Consider the following 13,636-nt stretch of genomic DNA (forward strand, 5'->3'; position numbering starts at 1 on the left):
GGACTACTGGTGTGCACCACCTCATCTGGCTAATTTTGTATTTTTTGTAGAGACAGGATTTCGCCTTTTGCCCAGGCTGAGCTTCTCTCATCTCTTACCATCTCCATCCCAGTGCCACCTGCCATGGTTAAGGATCTTATCTGTTTACCAACTCTTGCATAAGAGAAGTTTACTTCTTTTTATGTAAAAGAAGTCTGGAGGAAGGCAATGTAGAGTGGCGGCATGGTGTTTTCAGGGACTGAGACACTTCATCCTTCTGCCATATCATGTTAGCCCACGGTGTTTTTTCTGAAGTTTTCTTCATGGTTCAAGATAGCTGATAGAGCTCCAAACATGATATTCGCTTTCCACGTAGCAGAAAGGAGGAAAGACAGAAGGGCTAAATGGTATCCCTTGCAGTCACACCAGTTCCCTTTAAACAGCCTTCCCAGAGTCCCACAGAATAATTCTGCTCATATTGCATTGACTATCTTTGGCTGCAAGGTAACTGGGAGATGCAGTCTTTGAGGTGGATATGTTGTTTTCATGAATAAAATTGGGATGATTTTACTAGAAAAGAAGGAGAGAATGGATATTGAGGGGCATCTAGCATTCTCTACCATGTATGTATATGGTTTTTATGAAATTATACATTTTGTAATCTCTTTATACTTAATCTTTTATTGTGGACATCTTCTATTTTTCCCAATATTAACTTAAGGACTTTATTCCATTGCATGAATATATCACTATTTAAGGAACTCATCCCCAAATCCTCTATTTTGAAACAGTTGGGCTAGTTTCTATTTTTGGCAATTATAAACAATTCTGTGATCATAATTTTTTTTTTTTTTGAGATAGGGTCTCACTCTGTTGCCCAGGCTGAAGTGCAGTGGCACAGTCATGGCTCACTGCAACTTCTGCCTCCAGGGCTCAAGTGATTCTTCCACTTCAGCCTCCTGAGTAGCTGGGACTATAGGTGCATGCCACCATACCTGGCTAATTTTTGTACTTTTTTGCAGAAACCAAGTTTCACCATGTTGCACAGGCTGGTGTTAAACTCCTGGGCTCAAGCAATCCACTTGCCTCAGCCTCCCAAAGTGCAGAGATTACAGGAATGAACCACCGTGCCCCACCAATCATAATTCTTATAGCTAAATCTTACAGGTCATATCCTTAAAGGAAATCCCTACAAATGAAACCACTGAATCAAAGAAAATGTTTATTTTAAAGCTCCTAATACATATTCCCAAAATGTCTTCCAGTAAGATTTTCCCACCAGCCTTGTTTAAAAGTGCCATGGGTTTGTTTTTTTAACTATTATTATTTTTTTGTGTGTGTGACAGAGTCTTGCTCTGTTGCCCAGGCTGGAGTGCAGTGGTGTAATCTCAGCTCACTGCAACCTCCACCCCACAGGTTCAAGCAATTCTCCTGTCTCAGCCTCCCAGGTAGCTGGGATTACAGGCACATGCCATCACGCCTGGCTAATTTTTGTATTTTTAGTAGAGACGGGGTTTTACCATGTTGGCCAGGCTGGTCTCAAACTCCTGACCTCAAGTGATCTGCCTGCCTCAGCCTCCCAAAGTGCTGGGATTACAGGCATGAGCCATGGGCCCAGCTGCCATGGGTTTATTCTATTTTCCTAATAAAAAAAAATACTTAAGGCACAAAAAAATGTAAAGAGCAATACAAAGTGTAAATTGGTTATATTTAACATTTGGTTAAACTGAGTTCCATTTTTTAAAATTTTATTTCTCAGATTGGATTGACTTTCTCCAGAGTAAACCCACTGAAACAAATGAGTCATCACATATTTACTGAATGCCTAGGAAGGAAGAGAAATTTGAATATTAATAAGATAAGATCCCTGCCCATAAGGAGCATATATTTTGGGCAATGATGGAGTTACTGAAATAAGGATATAACCTCGTGAGATATCTTAAGATGTAATTATAAATGTGATTATTCTTTTTTTTTTTTTTTTTTTTTTTTGAGACGGAGTCTCGCTCTGACGCCCAGGCTGGAGTGCAGTGGTGCAATCTCAGCTCACTGCAAGCTGTGCCTCCTGGGTTCACGCCATTTTCCTGCCTCAGCCTCCCAAAGTGCTGGGACTACAGGCACCCGCCACCATGCCTGGCTAATTTTTTTTTTTTTTTTTTTTTTTTTTTTTTTTTTTTTTTTTTTTTTTTTTTTAGTAGAGACAGTTTCACCCTGTTAGCCAGGATGGTCTCAATCTCCTGACCTTGTGATCCGCCTGCCTCAGCCTCTCAAAGTGCTGGGATTACAGGTGTGAGCCACCCGCCTGGCCAATTATTCTTAGTTTTTAAAAAACTTGTTGTATAGCTTGTTATAGTTTAGATATTTGTCCTTGCCTAAATCTCATGTAGAATTATAATCCCTAGTGCTGGAGGTGGGGCCTGGTGGGAGGTGTCTGAGTCATGGGGACAAATCCCTCATGACTTGGTATGATCTTTGCAATAGTGAATGAGTTCTCATGAGATCTAGTCATTTAGAAGTGTGCGGCACCTCTCCACACACACACACACTCTGTCTTTCTTCTGCTCTGGTCGTGTGATATGCCTACTCCTCCTTCACTTTTTACCATAAGTTAAAGCTTCCTGCAGCCTCCCTCAAAGCAGATGTTAGCACTATTAGCACTATGCTTCCTGTACAACCTGCAGAGCCATAAGCCAATTAAACCTCTTTTCCTATAAATTACCCAGTCTCAGGTATTTTTGTTTTTTGTTTTTGTTTTTTTGGGTTTTTTTGAGACAGAGTCTCACTCTGTTGCCCAGGCTGGAGTGCAGTGGTGTGATCTAGACTCACCACAACCTCCGCCTCCCGGATTCAAGCAATTCTCCTGCCTTAGCCTCCTGAGTAGCTGGGACTACAGGTGTGCACCACTGTGCCTGGCTAATTTTTGTATTTTTAGTAGAGATGAGGGTTCACTGTGTTGGCCAGGCTGGTCTTGAACTCCTGACCTCGTGATCCGCCTGCCTCAGCCTCCCAAAGTGCTGGGATTATAGGTGTGAGCCACCGCACCTGGCTAGGTATTTCTTTATAGCAATGCAAGAATGACTTCATACAGAACACTGGTACCAAGGAATGGGGTATTGCTATAAGGATACCTGACAATGTGGAAGTGACTTTGAAACTGGGTAATGGGCAGATGTTGAAAGACTGGAGGGCTCAGAAGACAACAGGAAGAGGGAAAGTTTAGAATTTCTTAGAGACCAGTTAAATGGTTGTGACCAAAATGCTAATAGTGAAATGGACAATAAAGTCCAGGCTGACAAGGTCTCAGAAGGAAATGAGGAACTTACTGGGAACTGGAAGAAAGGGCATGTGTGTTATGCCTTAGCAAGGAACTTGGCTGTATTATGTCCATGCCCTAGAGATCTATGGAATTTTGATCTTGAGAGTCATGACGTAGGGTATTGGGTAGCAGAAATTTCTAAGTAGCAGAGTGTTCAAGAAGTAACATGCCTGCTTCTAACACCTATGCTCAGATGTGGGAGCAAAGAAATGACTTAAAGTTGGAATTTATATTTAAAAGGGGAGCAGAGCATAAAAGCTTGGAAAATTTGCAGCCTAGCCACATGACAAAGAAAGAAAAAGCTTTTTGGGAAGAGGAACTCAAGCAGGCTGTGGAGCAACCACTTGATAGAGATATTTGCATAACTAAAAAGCAGCCAAGTGCTAATAGCCAAGACAATGGGAAAAAGGCATTTCGGAGACCTTCACAGCAGCCCCTCCCATCACAGGCCCAGAGGCCTAGGAGGGAAGAATGGTTCTGTGGGGCAGACCCAGGACCTTGTTGCCTTGAGCAGCCTTGGGACACTGCTTTTTGCTGGGGCTCAGCGGGGCCCAGTTACAGCTTGACTTGCCGCTTTAGAGAATCTAAGATGTCCTGATCTCAAGTGATCCATGGTGAAACCTTGTCTCTACTAAAAATACGAAAATTAGCCAGGTGTGGTGGCGGACGCCTATAATCCCAGCTACTTGGGAGGCTGAGGCATGAGAATCCCTTGAGCTTGGGAGGTGGAGGTTGCGGTGAGCTGAGATCACGCCACTGCAGTCCAGCTTGGGTGATACAGCAAGACTCTGTCTCAAAAAAACAAACAAACAAACAAACAAACAAATGTTGCAAGCAAGCTGTAAGCCTTGGCAGCTTCCATGTGGTGTTAAGCTTGTGGGCACACAGAGGGCAAAGAGTGAAGGCTTGGCACTATCTGTGTAGATTTCAGAGGATGTAAGAGAAAGCCTGGGTGCCCAGGCAGAAGCCTGATGCAGGGGTGGAGTCCTCACAGAGAATCTCTATTGGGCAGTGCAGAGAAGAAATAGGGGGTTGGAGGCCCCACACACAATTCCCACTGGGGCACTGCCTAGTGGAGCTGTGGGAAGGGGGTCACCATCTTCCAGACCCCAGAATGATAGATTCACCTTGCACCCTGTACCTAGAAAGCTGCAGGCATTCAGGCCAGGTGCAGTGGCTCATGCCTGTAATCCCAGCACTTTGGGAGGCCAAGATGGGCAGATCACTAGAGACCAGGAGTTCGAGACCAGCCTGGCCAACATGGTGAAACCCCATCTCTACTAAAAATACAAAAATTAGCTGAGTGTAGTGGTGCTCGCCTGTAATCCCAGCTATTCAGGAGGCTGAGGCAGGAGAACTGCTTGAACCCGGGAGGCAGAGGTTGCAGTGGGCCGAGACCCCACCACTACACTCCAGCCTGGGCGACAGAACGAGACTCTGTCTCTCAAAAAAGAAAAAAAAGAAAAAAAGAAAAAAGAAAGCTGCAGGCATTCAACTCCACCCATGAGAGCAACCTTGGGAGCTGAACCCTGCAAAGCCACAGGGGTAGAGCTGCCCAGGGTCTTGGAAGCCTACCGCTTGCACCTTGTCATGGGACATCAAGGGGTTCTAAGAGTTAATGACTCCCCTACTGGGTTTTGAACTTGCATGGGATCTGTAGCCCCTCTCTTTTGGAACAGAAATGTTTATCTAACGCCTATACTCCCATTGTATCTTGGAAGTAAATAACTTGTTTTTGATTTACAGGCTCATAGCTGGAAGGGATGTGCCTTGTCTCAGAGGAGACGTGGGACTTTGGACTTTTGAATTAACACTGGAATGAGTCAAGACTTTTGAGACTTTTTGGAAACCATAATTGTATTTTGCAATGTGAGAAGGATATGAGATTTGGGAGGAGCCAAGGGCAGGATGCCCAAATCTCATGCTGAATTGTAATCCCCAATGCTAGAGGTGGGGCCTGGTGGGAGGTGTTTGGGTCATGGGGGAGGATCCCTTATGGCTTTGTACTGTCTTTGCGATAGTGAGTTCCCATGACATCTGGTCATTTAAAAGTGTGTGGCACCTCTCTTGCTCCTGCTCCCACTTAACATTCCCCCATGAGTAAAAGCTTTGTAAGTCCTCTGCAGAAGCAGATGCCAGCACTATGCTTCTACAGCCTCCAGAACTGTGAGCCTATTAAATCTCTTTTCTTATAAATTACGTGGTCTCAGATATTTCTTTATAGCAAGGCAAGGATGACCTAATACATAGCTATAGCTGTTTGCATCTGAAAAGACAGCAAGCAGTACCAGATAGTCCATAGTACATGTAGGCAGAATAGTTCTGTGACCAGAATTTAATCTTCCTGTTCTGAGAAATGGTAGGTTATTGAGGCTTAGAATAGTCCACGAAGGTATTGCCAGGGCAAGGGGAGTTTGAGCCAAAACTCATGTAACTGTGTTGCCATAAGAACTGTTTATGTTTACATAATTAATATTTACTTCTTTTTTCCACTCCAAGATTTGGTATAAGGGGAAAGAAGTTACATTTTTCATCTTCTTATGCTCATAAAGCATCTTCCATTGCCAAATCCTCCAGCTTTTGTTCTATGGAAAGAGATGAGGAAGACTCTATAATCGTCTCAGAAGGAATAATTGAGGAATACCTAGCATTCGATCACATAGATATGTGAGTATTATGCCTTTTAAGCTTTTTACTCCCCTCTTATTTTGTGTATTAATACCTATTTTTTCTAAATGATGCTACCAATGTATATTATTAAATATATGCCAGTTTCTGTTATTTATTTTATGTTATTTCTCAGGTATCCAGAATTTATGTTCTTATTGCCTCCATGTACTAGACTTCCTTGTGTATTTTATAACTTCACACATCATTTGCCTGTTCCTGAGATTAGAGATTTTAAAATAAGTTTATTTTTTCCCCACATAGTTTGATTTTACCCTTTTGCAAATTACCACCAGTGGGAACTTTGAAACCTTTTAAAAGAGCAGTTGAAGAGATATGGACTTTGTTTACATAAATTCTGTTTGAAAAATGTATATACAGGCTGGGCGCGGTGGCTCACACTTGTAATCCCAGCACATTGGGAGGCCGAGGCAGGCAGATCACTTTGGGTCAGGAGTTTGAGACTAGCCTGGCCAACATGGTGAAACCCCATCTCTACTAAAAATACAAAATTAGCTGGGCATGGTGATGCGTGCCTCTAATGTCAGCTACTTGGGAGGCTGAGGCCAGAGAATCGCTTGAACCCGGGAGGCGGAGGTTGCAGTGAGCCGAGATCACGCCACTGCATACCAGCCTGGGCAACAGAGCAAGACTCCATCTCCAAAAACAAAACAAAACAAAAAAGAAAAGAAAAAGGTATAAACAGTTTGTTTAAAACCTTATGGTTGGCACAGATTTTATAATTAATAATGTCTATTTATATCTATTCTAACTATATTCTAACAGTAGACCTATCACATAGATATGATTTATCTTCTTTACTGGATAGGTGAGAATCAGAGTAGTTAATGATTTGTCTCAAGTAAAGCTAAAACCAAAACCTTATTCATCTGATTCTCAATCCAGTCTTCTCTTCACTATTCCTTGCTACCTTTCTGTGACATTAACCTGTTAAACTATTCCTCTAAGCCTTTAAAAGTTCCAGATTTGATAGTCACAGCAGCATATTTGAAAATAAGTGAGAATTTCTTTTTAGGCTGTGCAGCTGTGGTTAGGTCTAGTAGTTAGTATTGTGTCACATGATTCTGGATGCATTTTTTTTTTCCCATTGCATTTTTTTCCCATTGTATTTCCTGCTGAGCCATGTTCACTCACGTATCACTCATGTGCACACAGCCCTAGGGCCAGCTAAATATAAGCCAGGCTTCTATACATAATACCACTGAGCTAGAACTGGAAGCAGATTCTTTTGGTTTTCCAAAGATTGCCTCCTTCCCTTTCACTTCTCCTGTGTCAAATTACTTCTATTTTCTATTTATTACTTCTATTTGGCCTTTGTCAAATTAATTCTATTTTCCATTTTTCCTCAAATCAAAGTGAATTTTCAGGTAATACACAGACAATTTTAGAAAGGCAGCCTTCCCTTCAGCATCATGAAGTCTTTCCTTCTTGCTTCTGTTACAGAGAAGAGGGATTTCATGGGAAGAAATCAGAAGCAGCTACAGAGAAACAGAAATTAGGGTATCCTCCCATTGCTCCATTTTACTGCATGAAAGAAGATGTCCTTGCTTATGTGTTTGACAGTGTATGGTGCAAGGTTGTGAGCTGTATGGAGCAGTTGACACGTAGTCACTGGGAAGGATTTGCCTCTGGTAAGGATCTTTGTGAAAATAATGTAAAAATCAATTGTTTATGATTTCTAAACCCTAACCAGTCTATTAGATGATATGCTTCTTAGTGCAAAAGGTGCGTATGGGCCAGGCACAGTGGCTTATGCCTATAATCCAAACACTTTGGGAGGCCAAGGGGAAGGATCTCTTGAGCCCAGGAGTTTGAGACCAGCCTGGGCAATGTAGTGAGATCCCATCTCTCTAAAAAAATTAAAAATTAGCCAGGCATGGTGGCATTCACCTATAGTTCCAGCTACGCAAGAGACTGAGGTGGGAGCATCACTTGAGCCCAGGAGGTCAAGTCTGCAGTGAGCTATGACTGCACCACTGCACTCTAGCCTGGGCATAAGATGAGAGACTCTGTCTCAAAAAAGAAGAAAAAAAAAAGTGGGTATGAGAGAGAGGAAAAACCCAAATGTTTTTCCCTAAATGTTTTTTCCTACTCTCACATACCACAACATGTCTGACACCAGTAGGTAGGGTTTTTTCCCCCACAACCCAAGCAATTCTGACACCACATCCTATAATTCAGTTCAGTTCTGACACAGTCTACCAGGAGATATTGTCAGATCCCACAAATTAAGGGCCCAGTCCCACAAGACTACCCCCAACTTCAGATGCTAGTTGCAAGCTCCAAGTTGTGACCTGTACTTCTGACCTACCAGAAGTCTACCAGAGAGACTAGGTCTCTCTGAACCTAGTCCTTTAGGATTTTTATGGAGGTTTCATTTTGTAGGCATGATTCAATTGTTGGCCATCGCTGATTAACTCGACCTTCAGCCCCTGTCTTCTCCCTAGAGGTTAAGGGGTGGGGCTGAAAAAGTGAAAAAGTTCCAACCTTCTAATTACATGGTTGGTTCCCCTGCCAACCACTATCTCCCTACCCAATCCTCAGACTATCCAAGAGCCCCTAACCACCGGTCATATCATTAGCATACAAAAAAAAACACCACTTTGGGTATTATAAGAGTTTTAGGAGCTATGTGCCTCAACCAGGGGCAGAGACCAAATATCTGTTTATTATCATCTCATGATATGATATGGAATGACCCATATATTTAGTCTCTGCCCCTGATTTCAGATCATAGTGGGTCTGACTTATGTTTGTATTTCCCACAAAAACTAACAGGTATTTAGTAAATATTTGAGAATGAGTAGATCGATAAAAAGGCCTAGTCTGTGATGATTAGACAGAGCTTGTACTTTCTCTTTGAATATAATGATTTATGAAGAAAAATCATGTGCAAGTAGCACTTTTTTAAACTGCTTTATTAAAGCATAATAGATATATAATAAACTGCACTATTTTTTCTTTTCATTTTATTTTTTATTTTTATGTATTTGAAGGGTCCAAGTGCGGGTTTCTTATGTGCATGTATTTCTTAGTGGTGAAATCTGGGTTTTTAGTGACCTCAGGTGGTACACTAAAATATTCACTCAAATAGTGAATATTGTGCTCAATAGGTAATTTTTCAAACCTTGCCTCCCTCCCACCTTCCCACCTTTCGGAGTCTCCAGTGTTTCTTATTACACTCTGTATGTCCATGTGAACCCATTGTTTAGCTTTCACTTATAAGTGAGAACATGTGGTATTTGACTTTCTGTTTCTGAGTTATTTCGCTAGGATAATGGCCTCCAGTTCCATCTATGTTGCTGCAAAAGACAGCCTTTATGGAAAAAAGCATGGATATTTCTCAGATTTCATTATTTTGTATGGCCAAGTAGTAGTCCATTTTATTTATCCAGTCCTCTGTTGATGGACACTTAGGCTGATTCCATATCTTTGCTACCGTGAATAATGGAGCGATAAACATATGAGTGTGAATAAATATATATTTTTTGAGACAGAGTTTCACTCTTGTCACCCAGGCTGGAGTGCAGTGGTGTGATCTTGGCCCACTGCAACCTCTGCCGCCTAGGTTCAAGCGATTCTCCTGCTTCAGCCTCCCGAGTAGCTGGGATTACAGGTGTGCACCATCACGCCCAGCTAATTTTTTGTATTTTTAGTAGAGATGGGGTTTTGCCATGTTGTTGGTCTTGAACTCCTCACCTCAGGTGATCCGCCTGCCTCAGCCTCCCAAAGTGCTGGGATTATAGGCATGAGCCACTGCGCCTGGCTGTAAATATTTTTTTGATATAATGATTTCTTTTTGTGTATATACTCAAGAGTGGGACTGCTGGATCAAATGGCAGTTCTATTTTTAGTTCTTTGAGAAATCTCCATGCTTTTTTCCATAAAGGCTGTACTAATTTACTTTCCCACAAACAGTTTATACAGTGTTCCCTTTTCTTCACATCCTTGCCAACATCAGTCGTTTTTCATGTTTGTTGGATGCTTGTATGTCTTCTTTTGAAAAATGTCTGTTCATGTCCTGTTTCTCTCTCTCACTCTCTCTCTCTCTCTGTGTTTCTCTCTCTCTCTGTCACCCAGGCTGGAGTGCAGTGGCACAATCACAGCTCACTGCGGCCTTGACCTTCTGGGCTCAAGTGATCCTGCTACCTCAGCCTCCTGAGTAGCTGGGACCACAGGCATGCACCACCACGACTGGCTAATCTTTTGGTATTTTTTTTGTAGAGGCAGGGTTTAACCATGTTGCCTGGGCTGGTCTCAAACTCCTGGGCTCAAGCGATCTGCCCGTCTTGGCCTCCCAAAGTGCTGGGATTACAGGCATGAGCCACCATGCCCAGCCTGTTCATATTCTTTTTCCCCTTTTAAATAGGGTTATTTATTGTTTTCTTATTGGGTTGAAATCCTTGTAGATTCTGGATATTAGTCCTTTGTCAGATGCATAGTTTGCAAATATTTTTTGCCATTCTGTAAGTAGTCTGCTTATTCTGTTATTTCTTTTGCTATGCAGAAGCTTTTTAGTTTAATTGAATCCCATTTGTCTATTTTTGTTTTTGTTGCTTTTGCTTTTGAAGACTTGGTCTTAAATTCTTTGCCTGGACAATGTCCAGAAGACTTTTTCCTAGGTTTTCTTCTAGGATTGTTACAGTTTCAGGTCTTGGGTTTAAGTCTTTAATCCATTTTTGTATACGGTGAGAGGTATGGGTTCTCTTAATTTTTGTATATGGTGAGAGGTATTTTTCTGCATATGGCTAGCCAGTTTTCCCAGCACCACTTATTTAATAGAGTCCTTTCCCCAGTGTATATTTTTGTTGACTTTGTCAAAGATCAGTTGATTGGCTTTATTTCTTGGTTTTCTATTCCATTCCGTTGGTCTGTGTGTCTATTTTTATACCAGTACCATGCTGTTTGGATTACTATACCCTTGTATAATTTGAAGTCAGGTAATGTGAGTCCTCCAGCTTTGTCCTTTTTACTTAGGATTATTTTAGCTATTTGAGCTCTTTTTTGGTTCCATATGAATTTTAGGATTTTTTTTCTAATTCTGTGAAAAATGGCATTGGTAATTTGATAGGGATTGTGTGGAATCTGTAGACTGATTGATCTGTATGGTCATTTTAACAATATGGATTCTTTCAATCCATGAGCATGGGATGTTTTTCCATGTGTTTGTATCATCTATGAATTCTTTAGTCAGTGTTTTGTAGTTCTCCTTATAGAGATCTTTCACCTCCATGCTTAAATATAATCCTGGATAGTTTACTTTCTTATAGCTATTGTAAATTGAGTTGCCTTCTTGATTTGGTCCTTGGCTAGATCATTAATGGGGTATTGAAACCCTACTGATTTTTGGATCTTAATTTTGTATCCTGAAACTACTAAATTTATTTATCGAATCTAAGTTTTTTGGTAGAATCTTTCAGGTTTTCCAGATATAAGATCATACCATCAGCAAACAGGGCAATTTGCCTTCCTCTTTTCCAATTTGGATGCCTTTTGTTATTTTCTTTTGCCTGATTGCTGTGACAAGGACTTGTTGAATAAGAGTGGTGAAAGTGGGCATCCTTGTCTTGTTCTAGCTTTAGGGAATGCTTTCAGTTTTTCTCTGTTAAGTATAATGCTAGCTATGGGTTTGTTGTTTATGGCCTTTATTATGTTGAGGTATGTTTCTTCTATGCCTAGTGTGTTGAGGACCTTTATCATGAAGTAATGTTGAATTTTATCCAGTGCCTTTTGTGCATCTATTGAGATGATCATTTGTTTTTTGTCCTTAATTCTGTTTATATGATGTATCACATTTATTGATTTGCATATGTTGAATCATCCTTTCAACTCTGGGATAAATCCCACTTGATCATGTTGTATTATCTTTTTGATGTGCTGTTGGATTCAGTTTGCTAGTATTTTGTTGAGGGTTCTTGTCCATATGTTCATCAGGGATATTGGGCTTTTCTTTTTTCATTGTGTCCTTGTCTGATTTTGGTATCAGAGTTATACTGGCCTCATAGAATAAGTTAAGGAGAATTCCCTCCTTTTTAATTTTTTTGGAGTAGTTTCAGGAGGATTGGTATTAATTATTTGTATATTTGGTATAATTTGACTGTGAATCCATCTGTTTGTTTGTTTGTTTTAATCCATCTGATTTTTAGGCTTTTGTTGTTGTTGGCTGTGAATCTATCTGGTTTTTGTTGTTGTTGTTGTTTGTTTTTCAGTTTTTGGTTTTTTTGGAACAGAGTCTCACTCTGTCACCCAGGCTGGAGTGCAGTGGCATGATCTCGGCTCACTGCAGCCTCTGCGCCTCTGCCTCCCAGGTTCAAGCCATTCTCCTGCCTCAGCCTCCCAAGTAGCTGGGATTATGGGTGCACACCACCATAACCAGCGTATTTTTGTATTTTTAGTAGAGATAGGGTTTTGTCATGTTGGCGAGGCTGGTCTTGAACTCCTCACCTCAAGTGATCTGCCCACCTTGGCCTCCCTCCCAAAGTACTGAGATGACAGGCATGAGCTACCATGCTCGGCTTTGTTTTTTTAGTTCCTTGAGGTGTAATGTTAGGTAGTTGTGATCTTTTTACTTTTTTTTAATTAAAAAAATTTTTTTTTAGAGATTGGGTTTTGCTATGTTGCCCAGACTGGTCTCAAACTCCTGGCCTCAAGCGATTCTCCTGCCTTGGCCTGCCAAAGTGCCAGGATTACAGGTGTGAGACACCATGCCCAGCCATCTTTCTACTTTTTTGATATAAGCATTTATTGCTATAACTTTCCTCTTAATACTGCTTTTGCTGTATCCTACAGGTTTTAATAGATTGTATTTTTATTTTCATTTGTTTCAGTTTTTAAATTTCTGTCAATTTTTTCATTGACCCAGTGATTGTTCAGGAGCATGCTGTTTAATTTCCACATATTTGTATGGTTTCCAGAGTTCTTTGTGGTGTTGATTTCCGACTTTATTCCACTGTGGTCTGAGAAGATACTTGATATGATTTCACTTTTAAAACATTTGTTAAGATTTGTTTTATGGCCTAATATTTGGTCTGTCTTGGAGAATTTTCCATGTGCTGATGAAAGAATGTATATTCTGTAGTTTTTGAGTAGACCGTTCTGTAAATGTTAAGTCCATTTTGGTCTAAAGTCCAATGTATGTCCAATATTTCTTTGTTTTCTGTCTCTTTGCTCTGTCTAGTGCTGTGAATGGGGTGTTAAAATCCCCACTATTATTGTATTGTTGTCTGCTCTTTCTTTAGGTCTAATAATATTTGTTTTGTGAATTGAGGTGCTCTGATGTTGGGTACATATATATTTAGGATTGTTACATCTTGTTGAATTGATCCCTTTGTCATTATATAATGACCTTCTTGGTCTTATTTTTATGTTTTTGATTTAAAGTCTGTTTCATCTGCTATAAGTGTAGCTACTCCTGCTCACTGTTGATTTCCATTTCTGTGGAATATTTTTTTCCACTTGTTTACTTTAGTTTTTGTGTCTTTATGGGTAAGATGAGTTTCTTGTAGGCAGCATATAGTTGGATTATTTTTTTTCAATCCATGCTGCTAATCTGTGTCTTTTAAGTGGACCATTTAATGCATTTACATTCAGGTTAACATTGATATGTGAGACTTTGTTTCTGTCATATTGATGATTGTTTTTGAGTTGTTTTAT

At 40.6% G+C, this 13,636-nt stretch overlaps 1 protein-coding gene across 8 annotated transcripts in view, besides 1 other annotated feature; it reads left to right on the forward strand.

Moving 5' to 3' along the window:
• The window catches only part of FAM149B1 (family with sequence similarity 149 member B1), a 76,386-nt gene that overhangs the window by 34,706 nt on the left and 28,044 nt on the right, over nucleotides 1–13,636 (forward strand). For all 8 annotated transcript variants that reach the window (NM_173348.2, XM_005269744.3, XM_047425143.1 and 5 more), the window contains 2 exons: nucleotides 5,795–5,962; nucleotides 7,427–7,614. In NM_173348.2, the coding sequence (NP_775483.1) occupies nucleotides 5,795–5,962; nucleotides 7,427–7,614 (356 nt within the window). The remainder of the gene's footprint in view (nucleotides 1–5,794; nucleotides 5,963–7,426; nucleotides 7,615–13,636) is intronic.
• Nucleotides 3,385–3,920: an enhancer, noted in NCBI's record as "NANOG hESC enhancer chr10:74965967-74966502 (GRCh37/hg19 assembly coordinates)". NCBI's record gives its function as "activates a minimal SCP1, AML or CMV promoter by ChIP-STARR-seq in primed H9 embryonic stem cells {active_cell/tissue: H9 hESC(primed)}" and the evidence as "EXISTENCE:reporter gene assay evidence [ECO:0000049][PMID:30033119]".

The sequence above is a fragment of the Homo sapiens genome, chromosome 10 (genome assembly GCF_000001405.40).
Source record: "Homo sapiens chromosome 10, GRCh38.p14 Primary Assembly".
NCBI classification, from domain to species: Eukaryota; Metazoa; Chordata; class Mammalia; order Primates; family Hominidae; genus Homo; species Homo sapiens.